The 27,231-nt window shown below is 38.8% G+C and overlaps 1 protein-coding gene and 1 long non-coding RNA gene across 12 annotated transcripts in view; one reads left to right on the top strand and one right to left on the bottom strand.

Annotated features, from left to right (window-relative positions):
- The window catches only part of BBOX1 (gamma-butyrobetaine hydroxylase 1), an 86,995-nt gene that overhangs the window by 28,364 nt on the left and 31,400 nt on the right, over positions 1-27,231 (bottom strand). For all 9 annotated transcript variants that reach the window (NM_003986.3, NM_001376260.1, XM_047427692.1 and 6 more), the window contains one exon: positions 6,080-6,278. In NM_003986.3, the coding sequence (NP_003977.1) occupies positions 6,080-6,278 (199 nt within the window). The remainder of the gene's footprint in view (positions 1-6,079; positions 6,279-27,231) is intronic.
- The window catches only part of BBOX1-AS1 (BBOX1 antisense RNA 1), a 172,928-nt gene that overhangs the window by 120,668 nt on the left and 25,029 nt on the right, over positions 1-27,231 (top strand). The gene's annotated exons all lie outside the window — the stretch shown is intronic.

Raw genomic sequence — 27,231 nt, 5'->3', positions numbered from 1 at the left:
CACATTTATTTTATCTCCTTTTCCTATTGCCTCTTGCCTTCTTTATTTCATTCCCTGAAGTTGAATTTCATATTTCAGATTTTTGTTTCCAGTTTTACCCCATTATTCTTACCAGTGTAACCCTCATTACATGTATTAATGCAACTTGTTGGTGCCAGCAAATAAAACATTCTTAGAAAAAAAACAAATCTGAACTGCTGGGCTCAGTTCTGAAAAGAAGGATGTCTCGCTAGCTAAGGTTAGAAGTTTTATTCTCTTCTGCTTGACTTTTTGGGGAAGAAGAGTCACTCTGAGTTTCCCATGAGGTTAACTTTTAAATTATGGACTGATAAATTTTGACAATGTTGTCAAAGAGCTTTTGTTGTCTTGTTCAGATGGAAGTCTACAATATCTTACTTAGCACATATTCCCTTTCATTAAAATTTCCTGAGACGTAATTGTGTGTCAGGTGCTGAGTTAACAGTAAAGATACGACCTTGATTACGCCACCATTTATGCCTATAAGAAGCTCAACATGACAGTGGCAATGGCAATGATATAAGCCTTCTTAGTTTTCAAAGGTTAGACTGGTAGAGTTACAAGCAGGATAGTTAATTAATAATATAAAATATAGTTGACAAATATTTTTTAAAATGACACTGTACCCTTCCCACCAAGTCTTTCTTTCTCTCCCTTTCTCTGTGTCATGAACACAAACATACTCACAGATCAGCTTATGTAAATAATAATTCCCTGGACTCTCCAGTTTATTTAGTTGTCCAACTCATTAAAAAAGGAATTTTCAGGGTTTGAGTTTTGCCATTTTAGAGAAGATTGTCTGAATTTCTCAATATTATCTTACCAGAATTATAGTATGATAAAGCCATGCATTGCTACAGTCCAGCATAAAAAACAGTAGTGACATCTTACACAAGTGTTGTTCATTTTGTTTTATTAATATAATGCATGTATTACTACTAAAAATAGAATCTGCAACAAAAAGTAGAAATTGCCTTACTTTATGTTAAGAGTTTGTGGGAGAGAATTTCCACTTCTCTTTCCTGATGGGCCATCAAGAGTGCAAAACTCGTTCATTTGAGTGAGGAGCATATAATTATTTTGGTTTATTATAATGCCAGGGCTTGGGGATGAGGTACTGGTAGTGGTTTCACAGAACAGAGGCTGGGAGAGAATTTCTACTGTAGCGCTGCAGAGGATGCCAGATCAATGGGAGGATGTAGCAGGTGTGGTGGTTGGAAGGGAAGAGGAAAAATGTTAGTAAGTCAAGTGAAAAGGGCAAGAAAGGCCAAAAAGCAGCCAAAAAGACATGAAGACTTGGCACAGGTTGTCTGTAGTCAGAATAAAGGTCCAGGAGATATAAAAGCAAGAGAGATACATGCAGCAAACAAAAGGTTAAGCAGGAAGAGAAAGAAGCGGTCCTGAACAAACAAGTGAGAAAGGGACTGATTTAGGGGATGGCCAGGAATAGGGAAGAATGGCATGTCATAGAAATGGCATGTGTCTGAGTTGGATTAGCTTGAGGATGGGGAGGAAGGGCTGCACGACATTGCATAATCTTAATTAAATTTATATTATTTTGCCACACCTATTTACACAACGGTAGCCTGTGTAAATTTTGAGGAGTGGATTCATTTTGTCTGAAGATAATATTGGTAGATGAGTATTTCCCCATCTTGACCATGCTTTGCATCATCCTGGGGATCACCTTCCTGTTATCCACCCTCTTTGAACTGCTGTTGGCATATATTGACTGTCATGTTCCCTCAGTTGGAATGCCAAAAGTCCGGGGTTACTTTTCAGTCTGTTCCTTCGCTTTATGGAATTTTTATTGGCCTAGATTATTTAAAGGAAGCCAATTCAAGTATTTACATTTACCCACATACAGCAATTACAAAAGGTACTTTTTCATAAAGTAGAAACCCAAATCTAAACCCAACAAAATGCCTGGTACAGTGCCATGCACGTATTATTAGTATTCAAGAAAGATACTCTGTTTGATTGACAGAAATTGTACTTTCTTTGGGATTTACTTCGTAGGATACATTCTGAAAAAACATCCTAACTTGGTATAATCATTGAAAATGACAGTGTATGATAGAATGTAGTTTACAATAACTGTTTCCCAATGGATTAAGTCATGTCATAAAATTCATTTATTCAATAATATCACCTTTCCTAAAAGGGCTCCAGAAAATTATTTTCATTGATTTTCTTTTTTTTGGTGGGGGAGAAAGGACATGAGATGAGGCATTTTGGCCTAGTCTGTAAAAACTTTGTGCTAAATCAAAGCTTTAAATTCTCGAAAGGTTGTCTTTTTACATACTGCTCCATGTTTACATGTATTTGACAAAATTGACAATGAGAATTTCTTTACCTACTCTTATTCTTTTGTCCTAGGAAAGTATTCATCATTATCAAGTGAGTAAAGTTACTGAGCATTTCACATGGTTGCATAAAAAAATATTGTCTAGATGATGATGTGCTGACAAAATAATGACAAGCATCTGAGAAAATACAGATGTGGAAAATGACATGCACTTTTGTCCTGAAAGTTATTGCCATTTTGATTTAGTTGAACATAGTTTATAATGGTGAAAGATTCTAATAATTATTGTATTTATCTGCTGGTTTATAGTCCTTTACAAAGATTTAGGCATGATTTATTCATTAAACATTTATTCCTTGCCTTCTGTATATGAAGACTACATGAAATGCTGGAATCTACTGTTTTTTTGTTCATCCAACCAACCACCTAACAACTGAGATGACAGCCAAGAACCAAAAATAGCTATTCTCATTCTCATTTTAGACTCATGCATTTAACATTTTTGAAACTAATAACCCTACTTGAATGGCAAAGTGCGAGGTGGGTACTAGTTTCCCAAGGAAGGCATGTCTAACGTGGCACCATCAGCAAGCTATTATTGTTTTAGGCATCTAACCAAGAGCAGTCATAAGCTTCCTTGAAAAATCTGCATGGAGAGCAAAGTTTACTTTTAATCTGTTCCTACTTTCCTTTTTCTACCCCTCTTCTATTGTTTAATCTCTTTTCTCCATTATTTATTGTGTGCATTTATTCATTCCATTCACTCACTCACCAACTAATTATTTTTGAAACAAGAGTAAGATACTTTTCCAGTGGAGAAACAAAGATATGAAAGGGAGGGACATTGTTTAAGGCAGCTACTGAGTCTGTTCTGAAGATGTCATATCCAGGCACAAACAAAGTAGAAAGAATAACGTGGTAAATGCCATTTTGTGCACATCATTGTGAGAGTTCAGATGATATAAAGCACCCCAGTTCTATCCCAATGGAGACCTGACTTCTATTGAAGTCCCCTTTCCTTTCAGCCAGAGGTTCTCAACCTTGGCTGCACATGAGAATCACCTGCAGAGTTTTGAAGAGTCCTGATACTCAGGCCAAATACCAGTACTGTTAAAAAAATAAAAAAAGAAAAACAAGCTCTGGAGATGGGATGCAGATGTCAGTATTTTTTAAATTGGCTATTCCAATAAGCAGCTTAGGTTGAAAACCACTGTTCTAAGTATTCTTTCTTCTTTTAAATCTACGTTACCCAGACTTCAGTATCACTTTTGCACATTACTATGCAGAGAAATGGAAAAAGGGGACAATGTTAGAGAAAATATTTATTTTTCTTATTCTCTGAATATCAACAAAAACAAAAAAGCAAATAAAACAACAATAACAAAAACAACAAAACTGTTCTGTCAGTTCTTGAGGTAGAGAATTAAAAATTGTCAAAAAATATGTAGAGAGATCTTGATAACCAGTGGTAGAAGTAAGGGGTAAGCTGGAAAGAAAGGCGTTTTCTGGCATGCACATAATTTGAGAGATTCAGGTAAGAAATGTGATAATCTAAGGAAGGTGAGATGGGTAGGTTAACTTATCTGGTTAGGTGGCAAGGCCCATAAGGGACATGGAATGGTAGTAGGAGTTCTGATTTGTTTTGACAACAGACCTTTAGTATTTATTCCAATAATTTCACAATATTAGATCAGTGGCCAAATTATTAAGCCCTTTTATAGGACCTGCAAAAACAAAACAACACACGTAATAAATCAAGCTTAGATTGTGACCCCTAGTGTGATGGTTTTGCAGGGTAGTTTAGAGAACTCCAACAAAGATCCCCAAATTTGGCCACTCTTATGAAATTGTGAAATGCCTTGGAACAGATACAAAAAGTTTGTTGTCAGCAAATAAAAACTAAGTAAAACGACTTAGAAGAGATTTGTTTCAAAGTGTCCTGTTTAACACCAGTGGCTAAAAGCTCTTCTTTTCCATGTGCTTTCTTCATATTATTGACAGCAAGGTAGAGCAGAAAGTCCATAGATAGGACAGACTCTGGTTCCTTTATTACTATCTGTGGGCACTTGGGTTACAGATTAATTCTCTGCGCTTCAGTTTCCTTATCAGTGAACTGAAGGATAATATTTATTTCAGAAAGTTGTTGTGACAATTAAATGAACAATACATAATACAGTTAAGGCTCTTAATAATTTTGAGACTTTTCCCCCTCTTTCCTTTGTCTGTTGTTGTTGCTGTAATCTCTAGGGCAGCTCAAATTCTTGCAGGTGTAAGGGAGATACAAATTTTATACAACACAAATCCACTAATGGTAAATGTAAGTTTCGGAGTCAGAGTAGGTGCTGTGTTGTCTAAGTCTAAACATGGCAGAGATGGCAGAGTCTTTCAGTGATTGAATATTTTTGGTCTCCTGTTTATCTACAGACCAAGTCTTACTCTAGTTTAGGGGTGGCAAACGTAAAGAGTAGCAGGGCCCTTGCAGGTCTGGAGAGCGTGGAGGATTCTGGCAAACTGGAGAGTGAGTCTACCTCTCTTCAAGGGCAGCCTCTACTTGTATCCAGTAGATTGTTGGCATGCAAGGATTTAGGCTCTGTTGTTGCTAGATATGATTTTTCAAGAAAAGTCAGGTCCACATGTAATGTAAAATCTCCCAGTTTTCAAGTGGTAACGACTAATTCCATTTTCTTTCAACATCATGTGGGCCAAACCAAACATCTGAATACAGCTCGTGTGCTTCCAGTTGTAACCTTTGGAGTTGGAAGGTCCCTTTCACTTTCAATGCTCTCTACTCTATGAGCCCAAGAATAATTGCATTAATCCCACATAAGGGACTCACTCTAAAGAAATACAGTTATACTCCCACATCTACATAAGTGTTTCCTGTTGTTAGTGTTTAACCATCCATAATTAATGTTACCTCCCAGGAAATTCTTATGCAAACAGCCTCTTGTTCCAAAGTTAAAATCAATTATATCTCCCTGTTACTTACTAAACCACATAGGCCTAATTTTATGAATGTTAGTTTTATCTTTTAAACATGTCTGTGACTGATTTTAATTTCTCAGGGCCCAACTTTATTTTCAGCCAACTCTTGGGAGGTAAAAGTTTAATGAACTTTAACATAAAGTTTAATATGTTGTAAAGTCTTGGAGAAACACAGTCTTTCATCTCACCTGTTACGGAATAAATTATGTCCCCCCAAATTCATATGTTGAAGCCCTAACCCCCAATGCTTGGAGATGGAGCCCTGGGCCCTAAGCTAATAGGACTGGTGTCCATATCAGAAGAAGAAGAGACAGCAGGAGTGTGCTATGCACAGAAGAAAGGCTATGCGAGGACACAGTGAGAAGGCAGTCATCTGCATGCCACAAGACATAAGCCTCATCAGAAACCAACCCTGCCAGAACCTTGATCTTAGACTTCCAGTTTCCAGAACTGTAAAAAAACAAATAAATAATTTTCTGCTGTTTAAGTTATCTGATCTGTGATATTTCGTTATGGCAGCCCAAGCAGATTATATACACCACCTATAACTAGCCTGATGTCTTTGGTGCCTGGTGTCTTTGGGCTTTTGGTCTCTTAAAAAATTATCATTCTCAGCAAAATACTACTTTTAGACTCTTCTTTTTATCTGACTTCCTACTCAAGACATTATGAGAATTTCTGTATCTTCAATCAAGGCGGTCGTCCTCAGTTGGGAACTATTTCAAACCTTATCTGTGATGGCAGAATACAAACCATTTGGTGACTCACCCATAAAATGTGAGATAGAGGAAACCCATCCTTTTCCCAAGTTTTGAAACTTCTCCTGGTTTGTCAGATGCTCCGGTGAGTCTTACTATGCCTACTTTCTTGAGGGTGGAGAGCCACTTGTATGCGTGTTCATCATATCTTAAAACATCTTCAAAATCCAAAGTGGGTAGCTGGAGCTCTGAGCCCCAGTATTGGCATTCTGTGAATTGATAAAATGAAGAAATCAGATGGGATTACATTCTTTTTACATAAGACGATAACCTCAGAGAAGGGGCTAGTTCATTAAAGTTGATTGTTGATTTATAATGGACTTTATTAAATGTTATTCATATTAGAAATGCCCAAGTCACTAGGCCTTTCTTCCTTGGCACCACACCAGTCTGTTATATGCCTCCTGCTTATAACTGTGTCTGGCCCATAGCAGGTATTCAATATGCCCCATTTGTTAAGGGAATATTGTTTAGCTGATGAATGACTCTTGATCTGTATGTTCTTAGGGCTTCTCTTCATGGACACTGCTTAGAAATAACTCTGAGATACTGTATGTGTTAACAGCCAAGTTATATTGCTCAACTCCAAATAGATGATAAAATCAAAATGGTAGATTAGAACAGCATATGTCTACTCTTGGGAGCTGGGGGTTGAGGAGAGCTTTGATATGGTAGGTACAGCTCTTCTTTCCTCTTATTTCACCTGTTAAGAAGCAACCTCTGGGATCAAGTGATCCTTTGGGGTCAGCAAGAAAAGATGAAGGTATATTCCTGGAATGCATAGACCTTTTAGTGGGAGCGCCACACAGATAAGGTCAAATGCTTTCCGTTAGCTCTCTCATTCTTCATGATTAAATGCTCATAAAAATGCTTAATTGAGAAAACAGAAAGAAAAATGTAAAAAATAATTGGCTTGCAAACCGGGCTCTCCCAAAGGAAGTGGAACACAGAGGAAATGCAAATTTGCCAAGGAAACTAAAACAGATATTACCAACTGAATTCAGGAAAAGCCTGACTCTAGCTGATCCGTTTGATTTCTTCCTTCCTTGGTAAGAAAATTGCCCTAGGAAGGTAAGCCTTCCTAAAAAGTGACAGAATGAGAACTTGCGATCTCAATATCATTGTGAGCAATGCTCTTCTTTTCTAGCTGGGGAATGTGTCATTTTATAGAAACAAAATAAAGCCCCCTGTTTAAGAATGAAGAATGGTGCCTCTTGTAGTAGTTGTGGACTGGAAACCATTGCTTCTTTGATGTCAGCATAGCTGTTTCTGCAGAAATAGGAATTTTTGTAGGCGTCAGATAGTGGCTTTAGTAGTAAAAAGATACATGCAGGTGCACGGAGCCACTTCTTGCTCTTCCACCAGCTAGTTGCATAAGGACATTGGCATAGGTTAGTAGGTGTGTGTATGTATGAAAGCCTAATTAGGCTATAAATGCATATATTGTCAAAGTTTCTGGGTTATTAAGCACAGCAGTTTGCATAATGAGCCAGAATTTCCAGGACGAAAATTGCTAAGTGTAAATTAGGCCTCCCTAGAGCTGCATTAATTATTTTTTACTATGCTAATATTCGTTAGTACTGAACACATTCCACAGGCCTCGGTGACTTACTGTATCATCTCTGAAAGTTGAGGTGATATCCAGCCACTGGTTCTGAATCCCTAATTTTAACTCTTTTCTCTCTGTGAGGAGTAACCAGAACTGAAAGAACTACAGTCTTTCCAGTTCTTTAAGCATTGCTTTTCAAGTGCTTCTGATATTTGAGAAAACCTTAGAATTTAATATTAACCAAGTCACTTTGGCAAAGAGAAACAGGTCAGCACATGGGCCATGTTTTATTAGACCAGAGCAAGTTGGTTAAATCAATAACAGACAATGAGGCATGAAGGTTTCAGGATGATTATACATTTTGGGGGAGGGAGGAAGGATGGTTTGATACAGTTTATTGGTATTTCTTGATTATATGAGCTACCCAATCAATAGTCATTTGTTGGTTTATCTTTTCAATAAGGCTAATATTTTATCATGTCACAAGGCATGGTGATATGCAGTAGGTTTTGAAGAGTTCACAGTCTATAGGAGAATTTGACATGGAAGGTGGCAATTAAAACAAAATATAATCACTGCTATAGTTGAGATATGTTCAGGATACCAAGAAGTTGTCTGTTGCAGGAAGTCAGGGACCCTGAATGGAGGGACTGGCTGAAGCTGCGGCAGAGGAACATAAATTGTGAAGATTTCATGGACATTTATCAGTTCCCAAATAATACTTTTATAATTTCTTATGCCTGCCTTTACTTTAATCTCTTAATCCTGCTATCTTCATAAGCTGAGGATATACATCACCTCAGGGCCACTGTGATAATTGTGTTAACTGTATAAATTGATTGTAAAACAGAAGACAACCATAAGGTCTGACTGCCTGCGGGGTTGGGCAAAAAGAGCCATGTTTTTCTTCTTGCAGAGAGCCTATAAATGGACGTGCAAGTAGGGAAGAGATCGCTAAATTCTTTTCCTAGCAAGGAATATTAATATTAATACCCTGGGAAAGGAATGCATTCCTGGGGGAGGTCTATAAACGGCTGCTCTGGGAATGTCTGTTTTATGTGTTTGAGATAAGGACTGAGATATGCCCTGGTCTCCTGAAGTACCCTCAGGCTTACTAGTGTGGGGAAAAACTCTGCCCTGGTAAATTTGTGGTCAGACTGGCTCTCTGCTCTCAAACCCTGTTTTCTGTTGTTTAAGATGTTTATCCAGACAATACGTGCACCGCTGAAAATAGACCCTTATCAGTAGTTCTGCTTTTGCCCTTTGCCTTGTGATCTTTGTTAAACCCTTACCAGTAGTTCTGCTTTTGCCCTTTGTCCTATTCCCTCAGAAGCATGTGATCTTTGTTAGACCCTTACTAGTAGTTCTGCTTTTTGCCCTTTGAAGCATGTGATCTTTGTACCTACTCCCTGTTCTTACACCCCCACCCTTTTTGAAACCCTTAATAAAAACTTGCTGGTCTGAGACTCAGGCTGGCATCATGGTCCTACTGATATGCGATGTCACCCCCAGCAGCCCAGCTGTAAAGTTCCTCTCTTTGTACCGTCTCTCTATTTCTCAGCCAGCTGACACTTATGGAAAATAGAAAGAACCTACGTTGAAATATTGGGGGCAGTTTCCCCCAATAGGTATTCAATTTTCCGATCCCTTGTCTAGTGTTCTTTCTTGATGCCCAGCTACTCTTTCATGTTCGTGAAGTTCCCCAGGGCAGTCCCTCATACTTAAACTATTTCCAAAAGAAAACGGGATTGATTTCATATGGTAAGAGCCTCTTCTCAGAGAGGCAATAGATGTGGCTTTGTTTTGAATATTGGATTATGTGATTGTTTGCTTTGCCACTCCCATTTGCTCATTGTGTTTACAGTCCTCTGATTGTAATATCTGATACCAATTAAAAAGGTTGGCAGGAAGAGGATGATAAATGTTATACAAATTACATACTGACTGCCTAACTAGAAAGGTCATTTGGGTTTTAGTGAGAAGAAAAATTTACTGGCCAAAACATCAGTGTTAAGGGCATGAATAACAAATCACCATTTCCTCTTTCCAAAGCTCACACCTAAGTGGACCATGTCCAGAACATTAAAAGATTTATTGAAAACAGCTTTAAGCTTGTTAGAAATCAGGGGCTCATGGAGTATTAGAAGTGGATGGGATGTTAAAGACTCACTTGGCATTTTCATATTGATTTTTCGATTTCCCATCACCATTTGTTCTTATCACTGAATAAAACGTTTGCCTAAATAGCAGCTGAAAATTCTAGTTTTCTGGCACTGTGGTAATTGGTCCAAAAATGTATTTTCTATTCCTATGTAGACTGTTGTATGGAATTAGGTATTGTCTACATGATTATCTATAGTAAATGTGTTGCCTTTACTACAGCTGTTTAAGTAATTTATATATGAGCATTTATTAAGATTTTAAGAAAAATGTATTGTTTCCTATTGAGAGTAAAGCAGCCTAGAGAGATGATAGTGGTACAGACTATAGTACTGTCCAATAGGGCTTTCTGCAATAATGGAAATATTCCATATCTGTGCTGTCCAATATCATAGCTACTAGAAACACATGGTTATTGAGATTTGACATCTGGCTGGCGAAACAGAGGCACTAAAGTGTTTATTTAATTTTAATTAATTTAAATAAATAGCCATATGTATGTGACTGGTACTGCACTAGATAGGTCATGCATGAAGAAAAGAGCATGGAGGCAAGAGACTTGGGTTTGAATCATTGTCCAGCCTCTTACCAGGTGCTATCATTTCTTGGCTTCTTCTCTGTGTCTCACTCTTTTATAAAATAGAGACAGTTATGCTTACTCTGCAGATCTTTTATGACCATGTAATAATATTATGAAAGGAGTTTGGTACAGTACATGGCACATAGAAGATCCATAGTATCAATAATAATAGCTAATATTTGCTGAATAGGTCAGGCACAGTGCTAGTACCTTATTTCTTTTAATCTCCACAGCAAATATATGTAACAGATGTTTTCAGTGTTGCTGTGTTATAGAGAAGGGAACAGAGTTCCAAGTCATGCAGCTAATGATTTATAAGACTACTTAGTCAAATCCAAGTGACTGATTCAAAAATCTATAATTTTAACAACTGCATATAAAATAAACACTTGATGCCTTGAAGTACTATCATCATGGGTATTTTTATGTCCTGTGTCTGAATATCCATAGCTTAGTCTGTCCCTCATAAAGGAAATCTACTAGATAAAAATGAAAGCAGAGCAAGTTACAATTAGGAACATTTTGTCTGAACTTGTTCAAGCATGGGTGTTTAAAGATAAACCTTGGCTCCTAGTCAGAATTTTAAATGCAGGAAAAGCACTATGAGCAGGTTTCATTGCACAACACTGAAACAACATTGCTATTCACCTTTGGTGAAATGAACCAAGGCTTTGCACACTGAAAAATCAGCTAGCTTCTCTTCTTTAGTATGTGCCACTATATTTCAGTGATCCATGCCTTTTTGGTTTTACTTAAGGTCATTATCACTTTCCAGAGAGTTTCAGTGACCATGTGGCAGGGAAATATAATACACAGTGATTGAAAAATCATTTTCACAAGATGAATTTTCTTTAAACGTTGAGTTTATATTTTGACTACATTGTTCATTCAAGAAGTGAAGCATCTGATTAGGGCACACACTACATACTTCCATAGCATGTTTCGATGAATTTTTGTTTCTATATGAGCTTTTTTTTCCATTATAAAATAGCACCCACACACACTCACCTATAATATACTTTGTTTTAAAAATACAGAAAGATTTATATTCTTTAAAAAATATATTATCTTTTAGATGTGTAAAGTTAACCATATTCACACAAAGAGACTCTAGGATAATGCACAGCTGTCAATACAATAGGCAGCATAGTCTGTAGTATAAATAATTATGATTTTACAGGACTTTACCATCACAGTGTGGTTATAATGGTTTTTCAGTTCTTCAAAATGTATACTTTTTCAACCATAGCTCTCTGTTGGAGTGCTCTAGTTAGGAGTTTTGCTGAAATCAGAGACTAAGGGCCATAGCCCATTAGAACCTGTGTACCAATATGAGCCTCTCCTAAATTTGATTATGCTAAATATGACTTTCACAGACGCTGCTGTGACTAACCAGTTTTCAAATTCTTCATAGTGGCCTGAATGCAAAATGCTTTAATTTTCAGGGATATAGACATACCCTTGGAGTTACTGCGGGTTGGGTTCCAGACTGCCACAACAAAGTGAATAGCTAAAGAAAGTGAGTCATGCAGAATTTTTGGTTTCCTAATGCATATAAAATTTATGTTTACATTATACTGTAGTCTGTAAGTATGAAACAGCACTACATCTGAAAAATATGTATACCTTAATTAAAAAATGCTTTATTGCTAAAAATTGCTAATGATCATCTTAGTCTTCTGTGAGTCATAATCTTTTTGCTGGTGGAGGGTCTTGCCTCAAAGTTGATGGTTGCTGACTGATCAGAGTGGAAGTTGGTGAGGGCTGGGGTGGCTGTGGCAGTTTCTTAAGACAACAGTGAAGTCTGCTCCATTATTAATTCTTTCTTTCACAAAGTATTTCTTTGTAGTATGTGATGCTGTTTGATAGCATTTTTCCACAGTGGAACTTCTTTCAAAATTTGGGTAAATCTTCTCAGTCTCTGCCACTACTTTATAAACAGCATTTATGTAGTATTCTAAATCCTTCGTTTTCATTTCAACAATGTCCACATCATCTTCACCAGGAGTAGATTCCATCTCAAGAAACCACTTTCTTTGCCCATTCAAAAGAATCAACTCCTCATTCATTCAAGTTTTATTATGAGATTGTAGCAATTTAGTTACATCTTCAGGCTCTACTTCTAATTCTAGTTCTCTTGCTATTTCCACCACATCTTCAGTTACTTCCTCTGCTGAAGTCTTGAACCCCTCAAAGCCATCCATGAGGGCTGAAATCAACTTCTTCCAAACTCCTGTTAATGTTAGTATTTTTACCTCCTCCCATGAATCAAAAACGTTCATAATAGCATCTAGAATGGTGAATCCTTTCCAGAAGTTTTCCAATTTATTTTGCCCACAGCCATCAGAGGAAACACTATCTGTGGCAGCAATAACCTTATAAAATGTGTGTTTCTTAAATGATAAGACTGGAAGTCAAAATGACTCCTTGCTCCCTGGGCTGCAGAATGAATGTTGCGTTAGCAGGCATAAAAACAGCATCAATCTCCTTGTACATCTTAATAAGAGCTTTTGAATGACTAGTTACATTGTCAGTGAAAAGTAGTATTTTGAAAAGCATCTTCTCTTTCTGAGCAGTGAGTCTCAACAGCTATTGAACAAATATTCAGTAAGCCATGCTGTAAATAGACGTATGGTCATCCAGGTTTTGTTTTTCCATTGATAGAGCACAGGCAGAACAGATTCAGTATAATTCTTAATGGTCCTAGAATTTTCAGAATAGTAAATGATCATTGGTTTCAACTTAAAGTCAATAGCTGTATTGGTCCCTAACAAAAGGGTCAGTCTGTTTTTTGGAGTGTTGAAGCTAGGCATTGACCTCTCTTTTTTAGCTATGAAAATCCTGGATGGCATCTTTTCCAATATTAGGCATTTTATCTACATGGACAATCTGCTACTTAGTGTATCCACCTTCATCAATGATCTTAGCTAGATCTTCCAGATCACTTGCTGCAGCTTCTCCATCACAATTGCTACTTCACCTTGCACTTTCATGTTATAAAGAAAACTTCTTTCCTTAAACCTCATGAACCAACCTCTGCTACTGCCAGACTTTTCTTCTATAGCTTCTTTACCTCTCTCAGGCTTCACAGAATTAAACAGAGTTAGGGCCTTGCTCTGAATTAGGCTTTGGCTTAAGGAAATGTGGCTGGTTTGATCTTCTATTCAGACCCCTCAAACTTTCTCCACATCAGCAGTAAGGCTGTTTTGCTTTCTTATCATTTGTGTGTTTACTGGAGTAGCACTTTCAATTTCCTTCTGTAACTTTTCCTTTGCATTCTTCACAACTGGGCTGACAGTCTGGTGCAAGAGGCCTAGCTTTTGGCCTCCCTCAGCTTTCATGCCTTTCTCACTAAACGTAATAATTTCTAGCTCTTGATTTAAAGTGAGAGACATGCAACTCTTCCTTTCACTGAAAGACTTAGAGGTCATTGTGGGGTTATTAATTTGCCTAACTTAAATATTGTTGTCTCTCAGGGAACAGGGAGGCCCAGAGAGAGAGAGAGAGAGAGAGAGAGAGAGAGAGAGAGAGATGGGGGAATGTGGCTGGACAGTAAAGTGGTCAGAACACATACATTTATTAAATTATCTGTCATATATGAGTGCTGGTTATGGTACCCCAGAAAAATTACAGTAGTAAGCTCAAAGATCACTGATCACAGATCACTATAACAGATATGAAAATAATTAAACAGTTTGAGATACTAAGATAATTGCCAAAATGTGACACAGAGGCAAAAAGTGAGTACATGCTGTTGGAAAAATGTGCTGATAGACTTGCTTGCGTGTTGCTACAAGCCTTCAATTTGTAAAAAATGCAGTATCTGTGAAGCTCAGTAAAGTGAAGTGTAATAAAACAAAGTATGCCTGTACTAATATACCTGAAATCATACTACATTTTATTAAGTCCAGCAGGAAAATTATTCTATGATGTCTGCACAGAAATTTTAACTTTGTATGTGTTGAAAGAGTAATTTAAAAGGATTTTCTTATCTTCCCCCAACTGTAAAACATGACTATCCAGGGAACCAAAAGAAAATACATTTGACTAGAGTAAATCATTTATCAGGAGAATACATTAAAAACAAATTTAAGTTTCACACTTGGGTCTGGGTACATAAACATTACGAAAAATGATGGAATATTTAAGATATGAACCACCCTTCCTAATTTAACTTATGGTCTTACTAATAAATACTTCCTTGAACATGTGCTTCACACATCATAAAATTTATGAACAGGCTACATGCTGGTTTTCAAGGAACCATTTGCACAAGGTTTCCTTTTCAGGGTTAAGCATCACATTCCTGGATCCTGAGCTGTATTTCAAAAAAGGAAAAGACACAAAGAAGCTCTTTAGTTAAAGATTCATGAGCACAGCATGCTGGGTTGCAATGTGTTATTTCAAGAGTTTAGGACCTTCTGTCCACCTGCACTGAACTGAGCTGTTGGCTCTGAAATAGCTTATTGAATATGCAGGGGATCAGCCAATCTCTTACTGTCTCTTCCTGTAAATACCTTCTAGGGGCCCTGACAAAAACAAAGTCTGACCTGTCCTAGAGGAAAGGCAGCTTAGTGGAAAACAGAGCTTTGATTTTCTTCTCGTGCACTATGGAGATCCTGCCCTCTTCAGATTTTTTTTTTAACATGTAGAAAGAATTCTACATGTCTTTCAAGATTCTGATCACTTCTTTTATGTTGAGATTTTCCTGAAGCTGACCCTGTGATGAAGATTTGAATGCAAGAAATTTATTGAGGCAGTCTATCCAGAAACACTCATAGAAGATGGGGAATTAAGACAGGAAAGAAAACCTCTGGAACGTGTTGTAATGAACACGTTACTGCTTTGGCAACAGGGGTTCAGCATCACTGGACTTCATAGGGACACTGTAGGATATACCTTAGAGGTTTCCTACTTGGGGAAAAGACACTGAGGTGCTCAGGCTACCCATGCCTACCCCTTTTTGGTTGAGAGCTGCTCCTCTGGGCATCCACTCCTGGGTCTTTTTGTCCTTTCTTGTGTGCTGGCCAAGCATGCTGTCTCAGGCAGAGAGGGGAGATTAGCAGTCTTGCAACAAGAAGCTGCTGACATGTATGTGACAAGTGCTAAGGGGCTATGGCAGGGCACTGGCACCCTCTGCAATGCCCTTCTGGAAATCTCCTGCAACTGCTAAGGGTGCTCTGGTTGCCTGACTTCTCTGGCCCTCCAGCACCTCAGTCCCAGTCCTCATTATGTTATGTTGAAATCTTTCACTCATACAACACATTTGTTGAAATCCTTGCTATGCAAAGAGATTACATTTGTGAATAAAGATAGATATGATCACTTCTCTTGTTGGGGAAAAAGGGTGCAAAAGCAAGGAAGCAAACACATAAATATTAATACATAAGAATAAAAATTTTGGCAAGTGCTATGAGGGTAACAAATGGGGTGTATAACAATAATAAATGAATCTTGGGATTGGGATAGGGAATTCATTTAGACATGGTGATTAAGAAACACCAAGCTAAAGAGAAGCTATTTATGCCAAATTCTGAAGGATGAGAGAAGACTGTCATGCAAAGAGCAGGGGGAAGAGTGTTAGGTAGGAGGGACAGTGGGAAGATGGGAATTGTCTTGCTTGAAAAACTCAGTCACCAAGGCTAGAACTGGGGCAAGAGGGCGTGTACCAGATGAAGGTGGAAAAGTAGGCAAGGGCTGGCTCAGGCAAGGCTCTGTCTCTTCCGCTAGATTGTAAGTTCTTCATGACCTATGAGGATCATGTCACTTATCTTTATTTTTTCACCAATATTGCTCCTTTCCTTCCTCCCCAACTTGTGTAGCCCAACACTGAAGGTTTTCAGAAAACTTTTATGGTCTATATGCAAAACAAATCTTTGTTTATTTCCTAATGATGACTAGAGGCTCAAAGCAACCCCTGAAAAATGAGATTGTGTCTGAGTGCACTTTTCTATTTTAAAAGATGAAGAAATACATAAAATCTTTAGGTGGTAACCCCATAAAACTCTGAAAGTATTGCTGAGAATGTACAAGTGGGGCTTCTAAACAAGTGTAACCTGCTTGAAAGGAGAGACACACATTTTCATGTTGGACTGTTAGTAACCTGACATACTCTGTATGCTCAGTCCTATGACCAGAATGACCATCTAGCTGGAGAAAACAAAAATAACACAAAATGATGAAGAAACACTAATACTAACATAGTCTGTATACTCACGCTTATGACTGGAATGACCATCTATCTGAAGAAAACAAGAATTACACGTAAAATAATAAAGAAACCATAAATGGCAGTGTATGAAAAATAATTTAAAAAACAATGAACCTAACGTTTATTGAGCACTTATGATTTCATGCACCCTTCTAAGGACTTTATATGGATTAATTTATATAAATCTCACAACAATCCCATAACAGATACTCTATCATTGTTCTCATTTTATTGATGAGGAGAAAGGCACAAGGAGCTTAGATAATTTGTCCAGCATCAGACAATATGTGTCAGATTTAGGATTCCCACACAATTTGACTGAAGACAATGGGAAAAGGGTTGTATGGTGAAGGAAAACACGCACCAAAGGATATCAGAAAGAAAGATTATTATCCCAGACTTCCTTAGAGTTGGCAGGAAAGATAGATAATTGTTTTACTCTCTGTCCTTGTGACTCTCCTCTATGACATCCATAAAAAGATCACAGAAGGCCCTCTTCATCCCTTTCAATGACGTGCCACACACCTCCCCGTGGAACAGGTTTCAAACAGCTCCAATTGTCACAGCTTCTTTCTTCTGCTGAGGCACAATATACCTTTTAAACCCTAATTCTGTGTGCTCCAGAATTGCAGAATAGAGATATAGTTTGGATATTTGCCCCTACCCAAATCTCATGTTGAATTGTAATTCTCAGTATTGGAGGTGGGGCCTGCTGGGAGGTGATTGGATCATGGGGGTGAATTTCTCATAAATGGTTTAGCACCATCCACTTGGTGCTGTCCTCACAATAGTGAGTGAGTTCTCAAGAAATCTGGCCATTTAAAAGTCTGTGGCACCCAGCAAAAGAAACTATCATCAGAGTGAACAGGCAACCTACAGAATGGGAGAAAATTTTTGCAATCTATCCATCCGAAAAAGGGCTAATATCCAGAATCTACAAAGAACTTCAACAAATTTACAAGAAAAAAACAAACAACCCCATCAAAAAGTGGGCAAAGGATATGAACAGACACTTCTCAAAGGAAGACATGTATGCAGCCAACAGACATATGAAAAAATGCTCATCATCACTGGTCATTAGTGAAATGCAAATCAAAACCACAATGAAATACTATCTCACGCCAGTTAGAATGGCGATCATTAAAAAGTCAGGAAACAACAGATGCTAGAGAGGATGTGGAGAAATCAGAATGCTTTTACATTGTTGGTGGGAGTGTAAATTAGTTCAACCATTGTGGAAGACAGTGTGGTGATTCCTCAAGAATCTAGAACCAGAAATACCATTTGATCCAGCAATCCCATTACTATGTATATACCCAAGGGATTATAAATCACTCTACTATAAAGACACATGCACACGTATGTTTATTGTGGCACTATTCACAATAGCAAAGACTTGGAACCCACCCAAATGTCCATCAATAATAGACTGGATAAAGAAAATGTGGCACATATGCACTATAGAATACTATGCAGCCATAAAAAAGGATGAGTTCATGTCCATTGCAGGGACATGGATGAAGCTGGAAACCATCATTCTCAGCAATCTATCACAAGAACAGAAAACCAAATACTGCATGTTGTCACTCTGATGACTCATACTAACTTTTCAGCCTGCCAGAACATGTAAGAATTGCCTTTTAGCCAAGTATTTGTCTCCTGGATTCATGTACTTTATTTCTGAAGCTAGTTCATTGAAAAAGAACTTACTAAGCACATATAGAGATGAGAATAAAGGCTACATCTGATATGATCCTTTGTCAAATTTAACAACTCAAGGTTTGAAGGTGAAAAATCTGGATTCAAATCCTAGTTCCAACATTTCCTATCTGCATGACCTTTGGAAAGTGAGAAATTCTCTAAGTTCAGTTTCCTTATCTGGAAAATATAGGATGAGAACAACCTACGGAGCTGTAAAATTTGAATGAGATAATATCTATCAAGAATTTAACATCGTGTGCCTGCTGTCTGGTTAAATCTTCACTTGAACCAAAGCAGCTAAATGTGGAGGAAAACACATGAGGATGACTGATTTTATTGTAATCTCTAGTTAACTCTAACTTACATGTTCCTATCTGACTGTTTCTTATGTTTTCTATCCTCAAATCTTCCACACTTCATCCTCATATTTATGCTCTTCTGGTGACTTTGATTCTTACTTCAGTGAAAAGACAGAAGGACTCAGAAGAGAATTTCCATACAGTGCTACCACCACATCCATCAACCTGCCTGAGTCTGTGTCCTTATCATTACTTGATGTATTATAGGTATATTTGTACATTTATTTGTCTCTTTCTCTACCAAAATGTAAACTGCTAAGGGGCAGGATTTTTCTCTTATTTTGTTCACCACTGGTTCCCCAGTACCTAGAATAGTGCCTAGTACGTAGCAGACACTCATTGAGTATGATGAATGAATAAATGAACAATCCATGGAAAGTGCCCAATAATGACATATATTACTAATATTAGTTCTTTCTCTAGATTTTAACTGTCTAGTGTGAAAGAGAGTCAAATACTATAGAAAATGACCATTCAGTGTAGTAATGGTAGTGACAGAGAGAGGACCCATACAAATTGCTGTGAGCACATAGAAGAGGAGGAAAATAGAAGGCATTTAATAGTTCAGATACCCTTAAATCAAACTTTGGCTCTGATACTTCATGTCTCTTTGATTACAAACTAGTTATTTATTTCTATCAGCCTAATTTTTGTGTATAAAATGGTTACAATAATAATGCTGCCTGGGAGTTATTGCTAGGATTAAACAGTGCAGTAAATATTAAGTGCTGAGCTCAGTTGCTGCCATATGGAAAATGATTTTAAAGCATTTTTTAAAAAGAAAGAGCAGGATGGGAATAGGAAATAAGCTATAGGAGGAAGAAGAAGGGCATATGATGTTGGTAGTGCGGACAGCGGGTTAACAGTAGAAGCAGCAAGATATGGTTGGATTCTGATTTATTTTGATGATAGAGCAAATATAACTTTCTAATAAGTTGGATGAGTATCATGAGAGACAAACAGTAGTCAAGGGTAAGCCTGCTACTGGAGAGATGGAGTTGCCATCATCAGTTGAGATGGAAAATGCTGTATGTGGAGCAGAATTAATCTTAGAACATCTGCTCCCAGCAACGGTTAATTTTTCCTTTGGTTTTCCTCATTTTTTTCCTTATTGTTTCAAGTAAATAACTTCAATAATCCCCTCTATCATTGCCCATCATATATCTTGATTCATCAATTTATTCTGGGCTAGAATCTCCTATTATGCCTTACTGAAGTTTGAGCTTAAAGACTGTGATTCCTCATTACATGGGCATATTGTTTTCTTTAGATATTTTTCCTTTATATTCCCTATTGAGATCTGCTCTTCTATGATGATGAGATTGTACCAATTTTCAGTTTGGAATTTTTCTTTTTCAAGTATCTAGCACATATGTGACATATAATGTAGCCTATGATTGCTGGTATTTTCATCTGTAGCTATTCTTAACTAACTAATAGATAACACAGGATCACTTTCTTCCAAGTTTTCTGGTCATTCCAGCTTCACCAAACATTTCTATATTCTTGATTGGAATTAGGTTCATAATTGACCAGTCTTCACTGCCTTCTTTAATTCTATTGAAGTGAAACTATCTACCAGGTCGGTAAATTTTTGCTAGAAATCAAACCAATGTAAGACTAAAGTTTTTTTCATGGCAATTGTCCACCTTTGAGATACTCTCATGTGCTTAATCAGGAATAGAACATGATTGTTCTTCATGTAAGGGGAGCTCAAACATAAGATATTATAAGGCACTTTTCTTCTCTCCTGTCTTTTTCGCAAATGTTCTTTAACGTGCCTTTGCTCTTATGTTTATGGCGCTTTAACTAGAAGAAAAAGGGGAGACAGAAAGGATCTAACAAGTTTTGAGCATCCACAGTGTGCCAGACACTGTGCTAAGTACTTACAGTTTATCACTTATTCTTCATCTCCCAAGGCTAATAGGCATCGCCTCTTTTAAATATGGAAAAAGTGAGGCTCAGGTCATTTATGAAACTAAGTCAAGTTCACAGAAAAAGGTCAAAACCAGCTCTTCTGACTCCAAAGTGTATGCTCTTTCTGTTAACACCATGTTATTTCATGAGTGAAGCACTTTCTTGATATAGTGCACTCTTTTACCTTCTCTTCTAACAAATTCTAACAAAATTCTTTTTGAAAAATGTGTATGTGTGTGATGTTCCTCTCCCTGTGTCCACGTGTTCTTCTTGTTCAACTCCCACTTATGATTGAGAACATGTGGTGTTTGATTTTCTGTTCTTGTGATAGTTTGCTGAGAATGATGGTTTCCAGCTTCATCCATGTCCCTGCAAAGGACATGAACTCATCCTTTTTTATGGCTGCATAGTATTCCATGGTGGGGGGATAGGGGAAGGATAGCATTAGGAGAAATACCTAATGTAGGTGATGGGTTGATGGGTGCAGCAAACCACTATGGTACATGTATACATTGTAACAAAACTGCACGTTGTGCACATGTACCTCAAAACTTAAAGTATAATTAAAAAAAAGAAAAGAAAAATGTGTATGTTTTCATTTGTATATGAAAGACTTGCTGTTTCAATGTTACCAGTGAAGTGATGCCTATTTCCTAGGCTTACTTTCTTTCCTATTGATATTTGTGGCTTGGTTTAGGGATAAACATAAATATAGGGTGGAATAATTGATGAAGGTCTTCATTAGGATGTGAGTAAATCTTGTAGAATGGCTAGGTAAAGTTTGAGCAGTCAGAAAGAGAAGAATAAGTCATGCAGGAGGCAAGCAGAACTTGGACAATAAAAGAAGTCCACATGCTCGTGGAGGGGGTACCAGATTGTGGGAGGATTGGAAAGCCCCAGTGAAGAATTTTATTCTGTAGGCAATGAGACACATGAGCAAGGGGAACGAGAGATGATTGTGAGCCTCAGGGGGATTGCCCTTAGAATTGTGCATGCTGGGTATGGACAGAGAGGCCATGTTATGTCAGTAATACAGACATGGGATGATAAAAGGCTCCAACTAAGCTGTTGGCAAGAGAGACAATCTATATAATCTTTCCCTCCATAAGCCTAACTTAAATATAAGTCATCTCTGTACAAATAGCAAATATGCAATAAAATCGAAAGCCAATGGGAGACAATGAGAAAGCAATTTTAATAATAATATTCTACATTTTTCAAGAACAAATATTCTATTCAAGAGGGTCAAGAAAACTGTTTTTTTGGTTTTTTTTTTTTTTTTTTAGATGGTGGATTGGAGACATTGTTAGTATGCCTCTCCCTTTTGGAAAGACGAAATAGTGTGTAGAGATTCACACTGTGAACTTTTTTCCAAGAAGCAACACAGGAACTTAATAGGAAAACTGAAAGAAACCACAGGCCCTTTGAAAGAAGTGGCAGGCTGTAGTCTTCACTGTAAGCCAGGTGGAAAACTGTAAGTCCCCAGAGTGCGAGGGCAGATAAACTGCCTCTGGGATATACCCTTCCACTGGGGAACCTGGCAATGCAGCCGATGGGGAAAGGCCTTAATCCTACCCGGCACTGGAGCTGATTTAGGGAGTGGTAGGGAATATAAAAGTAGGAGCAGCAGTGGGAAGACTTTTGTGCATTCCCAGTCTCCAGCATGGATGGAGGGAAGCCATTTTTGGTCCTACTTCACAGGGTACCTGACAGAAGTCTGTCAGCTAACACAGGTGGCAGTCACAGGTTGAGAGAGGCTCCCAACTGAAATTCGGGATATAATCTCAAGTGCAGACAAACACCCTTGGCCAGAACTTAAGGGTGGGTGGGAAATGTGCTGCTGCCACAGGTGCAGGAGCTGGGTGTTCTGGCTTTGTGGGTGGACTGGAAGGGGTGAGATCTGAAAGTCATGGTAGCTGTCTTCTGGGGAGTTCTGAACATAGACTGCTTAGGACTTAGCTAGCTGCTGCTAGTGGAGAGCACTGCAAGTCTGAGACCTGCCTTGCCAAGTGAATGGGAGCTGAGTGGGGCTTATTGCCACCTGCTACTCCCCACTTTCTGCACAAACTCTTCAGTGCAGCAGAGACAGCTGTGCTTCTCTCTGGAACATTACCCTAGTGGCAAGAGAACTGCCCTCCAATTTCACAAAAACTGCTGCTTGCCCTGCATGTGGAGAGCCAGAGTGCGGCCCTGTCTGACCCAGCCCCTACCTGGCTTTGTCCCTCCACCCACTCTGGTAACTTAACACAATGGACAGAAAGTTTTGGGAGCTTTATGGCCCCACTCATTGTCTGAGAATACAGAATACCTCCCCTAGGTAACAAAGCAAGCACAAATCCCACTGCTACTAACACAGCTGGTGCTCTTTTGCAAGTACCACCTCCTGGCTGGAGGCCAACTGACACAGTCCATTACAGCATCTGCAGGTAGAATAACACAGTGCTCAAGAAGGAGAAAATGTGTGTGTTACCTCAGCTATCACCGTTGCCTGCAGCACCATGGCTAACCAGGAGGTCCTGAGTCTGCCCAAGTGACCAGTTCATTACTTCTTCAGCCAGCATTTGAGAAAGCCAACACACTAAGGTTATTTATAACCAAGGAACTTTATAGGGTCTACGTCACTCCCCTGACATCTCCACCAGAGCTAGTGCTGGTATCTGCTGCTAGGAGACTAGAGGACAGATCACATCACTGGATCCCTTGCAGACATTTCCCAGCACCAACCTGGAGTGTGGCAGCCCCACTAGGTGGCTAGACCCAGAGGAGCAGCAGCATTCACAGTAGTCTGGTTCTCAGAAAATCCTACTCCTAGGCGGAGAGTGAATGTACCACATTAAGAGAACACCTTGGGAGATAAACAAGTCTGGATGGCAGGCCTTGAGTCCCAGAACTTTCTGCTGGTGGGAAGTGTCTTTCAGTAGAGGCACAGATACAGTGCTGGGCTCAGTGGGGAAAGTCTGCAGCTCTGCCCCAACTGTCAGGCAGCCCTTGTGCTCACAAAGGGTCCTGGAGAAGAGGAATTCTTTTCCCTCCTGCCAATCACTGCAGACACAGCTAGGGCTTCTCCCATAGGAGTTCAGCATGAGTGCACCTATAGGCAGCCTTTCTGGAACACTTCAGGGTGACTGGATCCCCACAAGAGGAGTGCCCTCTGGGTTCAGGCTTGCCTGAGGGGTAGAGTCACAATTCGTCTCTACTTGGAATATCAAATATTCAACTCTACTTGGAATTTCATTCCTGCAGATGAAAAGAGATGCCTGTCTGATTTGAATAGCTGTAGCACTGGGTCAGGAGTGTGACTGGGAGGTGGATTGCTTTCCTGCTGGCCTGGCAAGGGAGAGGCCATCCTTCCCCCTGGTAAGATCTCAGTGCATTTCACTGAGAGCTCCCCCAGCCACCTCTGTCAAGATTGGGACCTCTGCCGATGATTGGGTGTTGCATTTACCCATCTGCTTCAGCCACAGCTGGTTTCTATGCAGGGATACCTCTCCTACTGGGGAAAAATAAACAAAAATGTGCATACCATTGGGGAATGAGATAAGCTTAAAGAGACCTCTGCTATTCCAACCTCATAAGAGACAGTGAACTTAGTCATACACCAAGCACATCATTACTACAGCCAGCATCTGAGAAAGTCATCATACAAAGACTATAATGAGAAACTCTTACAGAGTCTTCACCCCTGAAAGCACCAAGAGCTGAATAAGGCTGCAATAAACTATAAACATTAAAGTCACATCCTTCAGGGGAAAAAAGAAATAAAACAGTCAAATAAAAAGAAGTCAACAATAATTAAAAGAAATAGTCTATCCAAATGAGAAGGAAACAGAAAAATAATTCTGGCAAGTATAAAAAAACAGGGTTCTATAACATCCCCAAGGTACCACATTAGCCACGTCCTCCGGACCCCAGAATGGTAGATCCGCTGACAGCTTGCACCATGTACCTAGAAAAGCCACAGACACTCAATGCCAGCCTGTGAAAGCAGCTACAGGGGCTATACCCTGCAGACCCACAGAGGCAGAGCTGCCCAAGACCTTGGGAGTCCACCTCTTGTGGCCTGAATGGGAGATATGGAGTCAAAGGAGATCATTTTAAAGTGCTAAGATTTCATGACTGCAAAGTTTTCAAACTTTTTATGCTCTTCTTCCCTTTTAAATGTAACTATCAGTTTTAGCTAATCTCTTTGTTCACACATATGAGTATAGACTTTTATAAACAGCCAGGTCACATCTTGAATGCTTTGCTGCTTAGAAATTTCTTCTGCCAGATACCCTAAATCATCTTTCTCAATTTCAAAGTTACACAGATCTCTAGGGCAGGGGCAAAATGCTGCCTTTCTTCTTGCTGAAGAGTGACCTTTACTCCAGTTCCCAGTAAATTTCCCATCTCCATCTGAGACTACCTCAGCCTGGACTTCATTGTCCATATCACTATCAGCATTTTGGTTAAAACCATTCAACAAGCCTCTAGGAAGTTCCAAACTTTCCCACATCTTCCTGTCTTCTCCTGAGCCCTCCAGACTGTTCCAACTTCTGCTTGTTTCCAAAGTCATTTCCACATTTTTAGGTTTCTTTATAACAGTGCCCCACCCCCAGTACCAATTTTCTGTATTAGTGCATTCTCACACTGCTATAAAGAACTACCTCAGACAGGGTGATTTATGAAGGAAAGCGGGTTTAATTGATTCACAGTTCCACAGGCTTATAGGAAGCATGACTGGGAGGCCTCAGGAAAGTTACAGTCATGGTGGAAGGTGAAGGGGAAGCAAGCATCTTTTTCACATGGTGTCAGGAGAGAAAGAGCAATGGGGGAAGTGCCACACACTTTTTTTTATATTATACTTTAAGTTCTAGGGTACATGTGCACAACATGCAGGTTTGTTACACATGTATATATGTGCCATGTTGGTGTGCTGCACCCATTAACTCGTCATTTACATTAGGTATATCTCCTAATGCTATCCCTCCCCCTTACCCCCACCCCACAACAGGCCCCAGTGTGTGATGTTTCCCTTCCTGTGTCCAAGTGTTCTCATTGTTCAGTTCCCACCTATGAGTGAGAACATGCAAGTGTTTGGTTTTTTGTCCTTGTGATAGTTTGCTGAGAATGATGGTTTCCAGCTGCATCCATGTTCCTAAAAATGACATGAATTCATCCTTTTTTATGGCTGCATAGTATTCCATGGTGTATATGTGCCACATTTTCTTAATCCAGTCTATCATTGATGGACATTTGGGTTGGTTCCAAGTATTTGCTATTGTGAATAGTGCCGCAATAAACATACGTGTGCATTTATCTTTATAGCAGCATGATTTATAATCCTTTGGGTATATACCCAGTAATGGGATGGCTGGGTCAAATGGTATTTCTAGTTCTAGATCCCTGAGGAATTGCCACACTGTCTTCCACAATGATTGAACTAGTTTACAGTCCCACCAACAGTGTAAAAGTGTTCCTGTTTCTCTACATCCTCTCCAGCACCTGTTGTTTCCTGACTTTTTAATGATCGCCATTCTAACTGGTGTGAGATGGTATCTCATTGTGGTTTTGATTTGCATTTCTCTGATGGCCAGTGATGATGAGTATTTTTCATGTGACTGTTGGCTGCATAAATGTCTTCTTGAGAAGTGTCTGTTCATATCCTTCACCCACTTTTTGAGGGGGTTGTTTGCTTTTTTCTTGTAAATTTGTTTGAGTTCATTGTAGATTCTGGATATTAGCCCTTTGTCAGATGAGTAGATTGCAAAAATTTTCTCCCATTCTGTAGGTTGCCTGTTCACTCTGATGGTAGTTTCTTTTGCTGTGCAGAAGCTCTTTAGTTTAATTAGATCCTATTTGTCAATTTTGGCTTTTGTTGCCATTGCTTTTGGTGTTTTAGACATGACGTCCTTGCCCATGCCTATGTCCTGAATGGTATTGCCTAGGTTTTCTTCTAGGGTTTATATGGTTTTAGGTCTAACATTTAAGTCTTTAATCCGTCTTGAATTAATTTTTGTATAAAGTGTAAGGAAGAGATACAGTTTCAGCATATGGCTAGCCAGTTTTCCCAGCACCATTTATTGAATAGGGAATCCTTTCCCCATTTCTTATTTTTGTCAGGTTTGTCAAAGATCAGATGGTTGTAGATGTGTGGTATTATTTCTGAGGTCTCTGTTCTGTTCCATTGGTCTATTTCTCTGTTTGGGTACCAGTACCATGCTGTTTTGGTTACTGTAGCCTTGTAGTATAGTTTGAAATCAGGTAGCTTGATGCCTGCCACTTTGTTCTTTTGGCTTAGGATTGACTTGGCAATGTGGGCTCTTTTTTGTTTCCATATAAACTTTAAAGTAGTTTTTTCCAATTCTGTGACGAAGTCATTGGTAGCTTGATGGGGATGGCATTGAATCTATAAATTACCTTGGGCAGCATGGCCATTTTCACGATATTGATTCTTCCTGTCCATGAGCATGAAATGTTCTTCCATTTCTTTGTGTCCTCTTTTATTTCGTTGAGCAGTGGTTTGTAGTTCTCCTTGAAGAGGTCCTTCACGTCCCCTGTAAGTTGGATTCCTAGGTATTTTATTCTCTTTGAAGCAATTGTGAATGGGAGTTCACTCATGATTTGGCTCTCTCTTTGTCTGTTATTAGTGTATAAGAATGCTTATGATTTTTGCACATTGATTTTGTATCCTGAGATTTTGCTA

The sequence above is a fragment of the Homo sapiens genome, chromosome 11 (genome assembly GCF_000001405.40).
Source record: "Homo sapiens chromosome 11, GRCh38.p14 Primary Assembly".
Taxonomy (NCBI): domain Eukaryota; kingdom Metazoa; phylum Chordata; class Mammalia; order Primates; family Hominidae; genus Homo; species Homo sapiens.
Note: the sequence above shows the minus strand (reverse complement) of the source record. Positions and strands in the feature narration are given on the sequence as shown.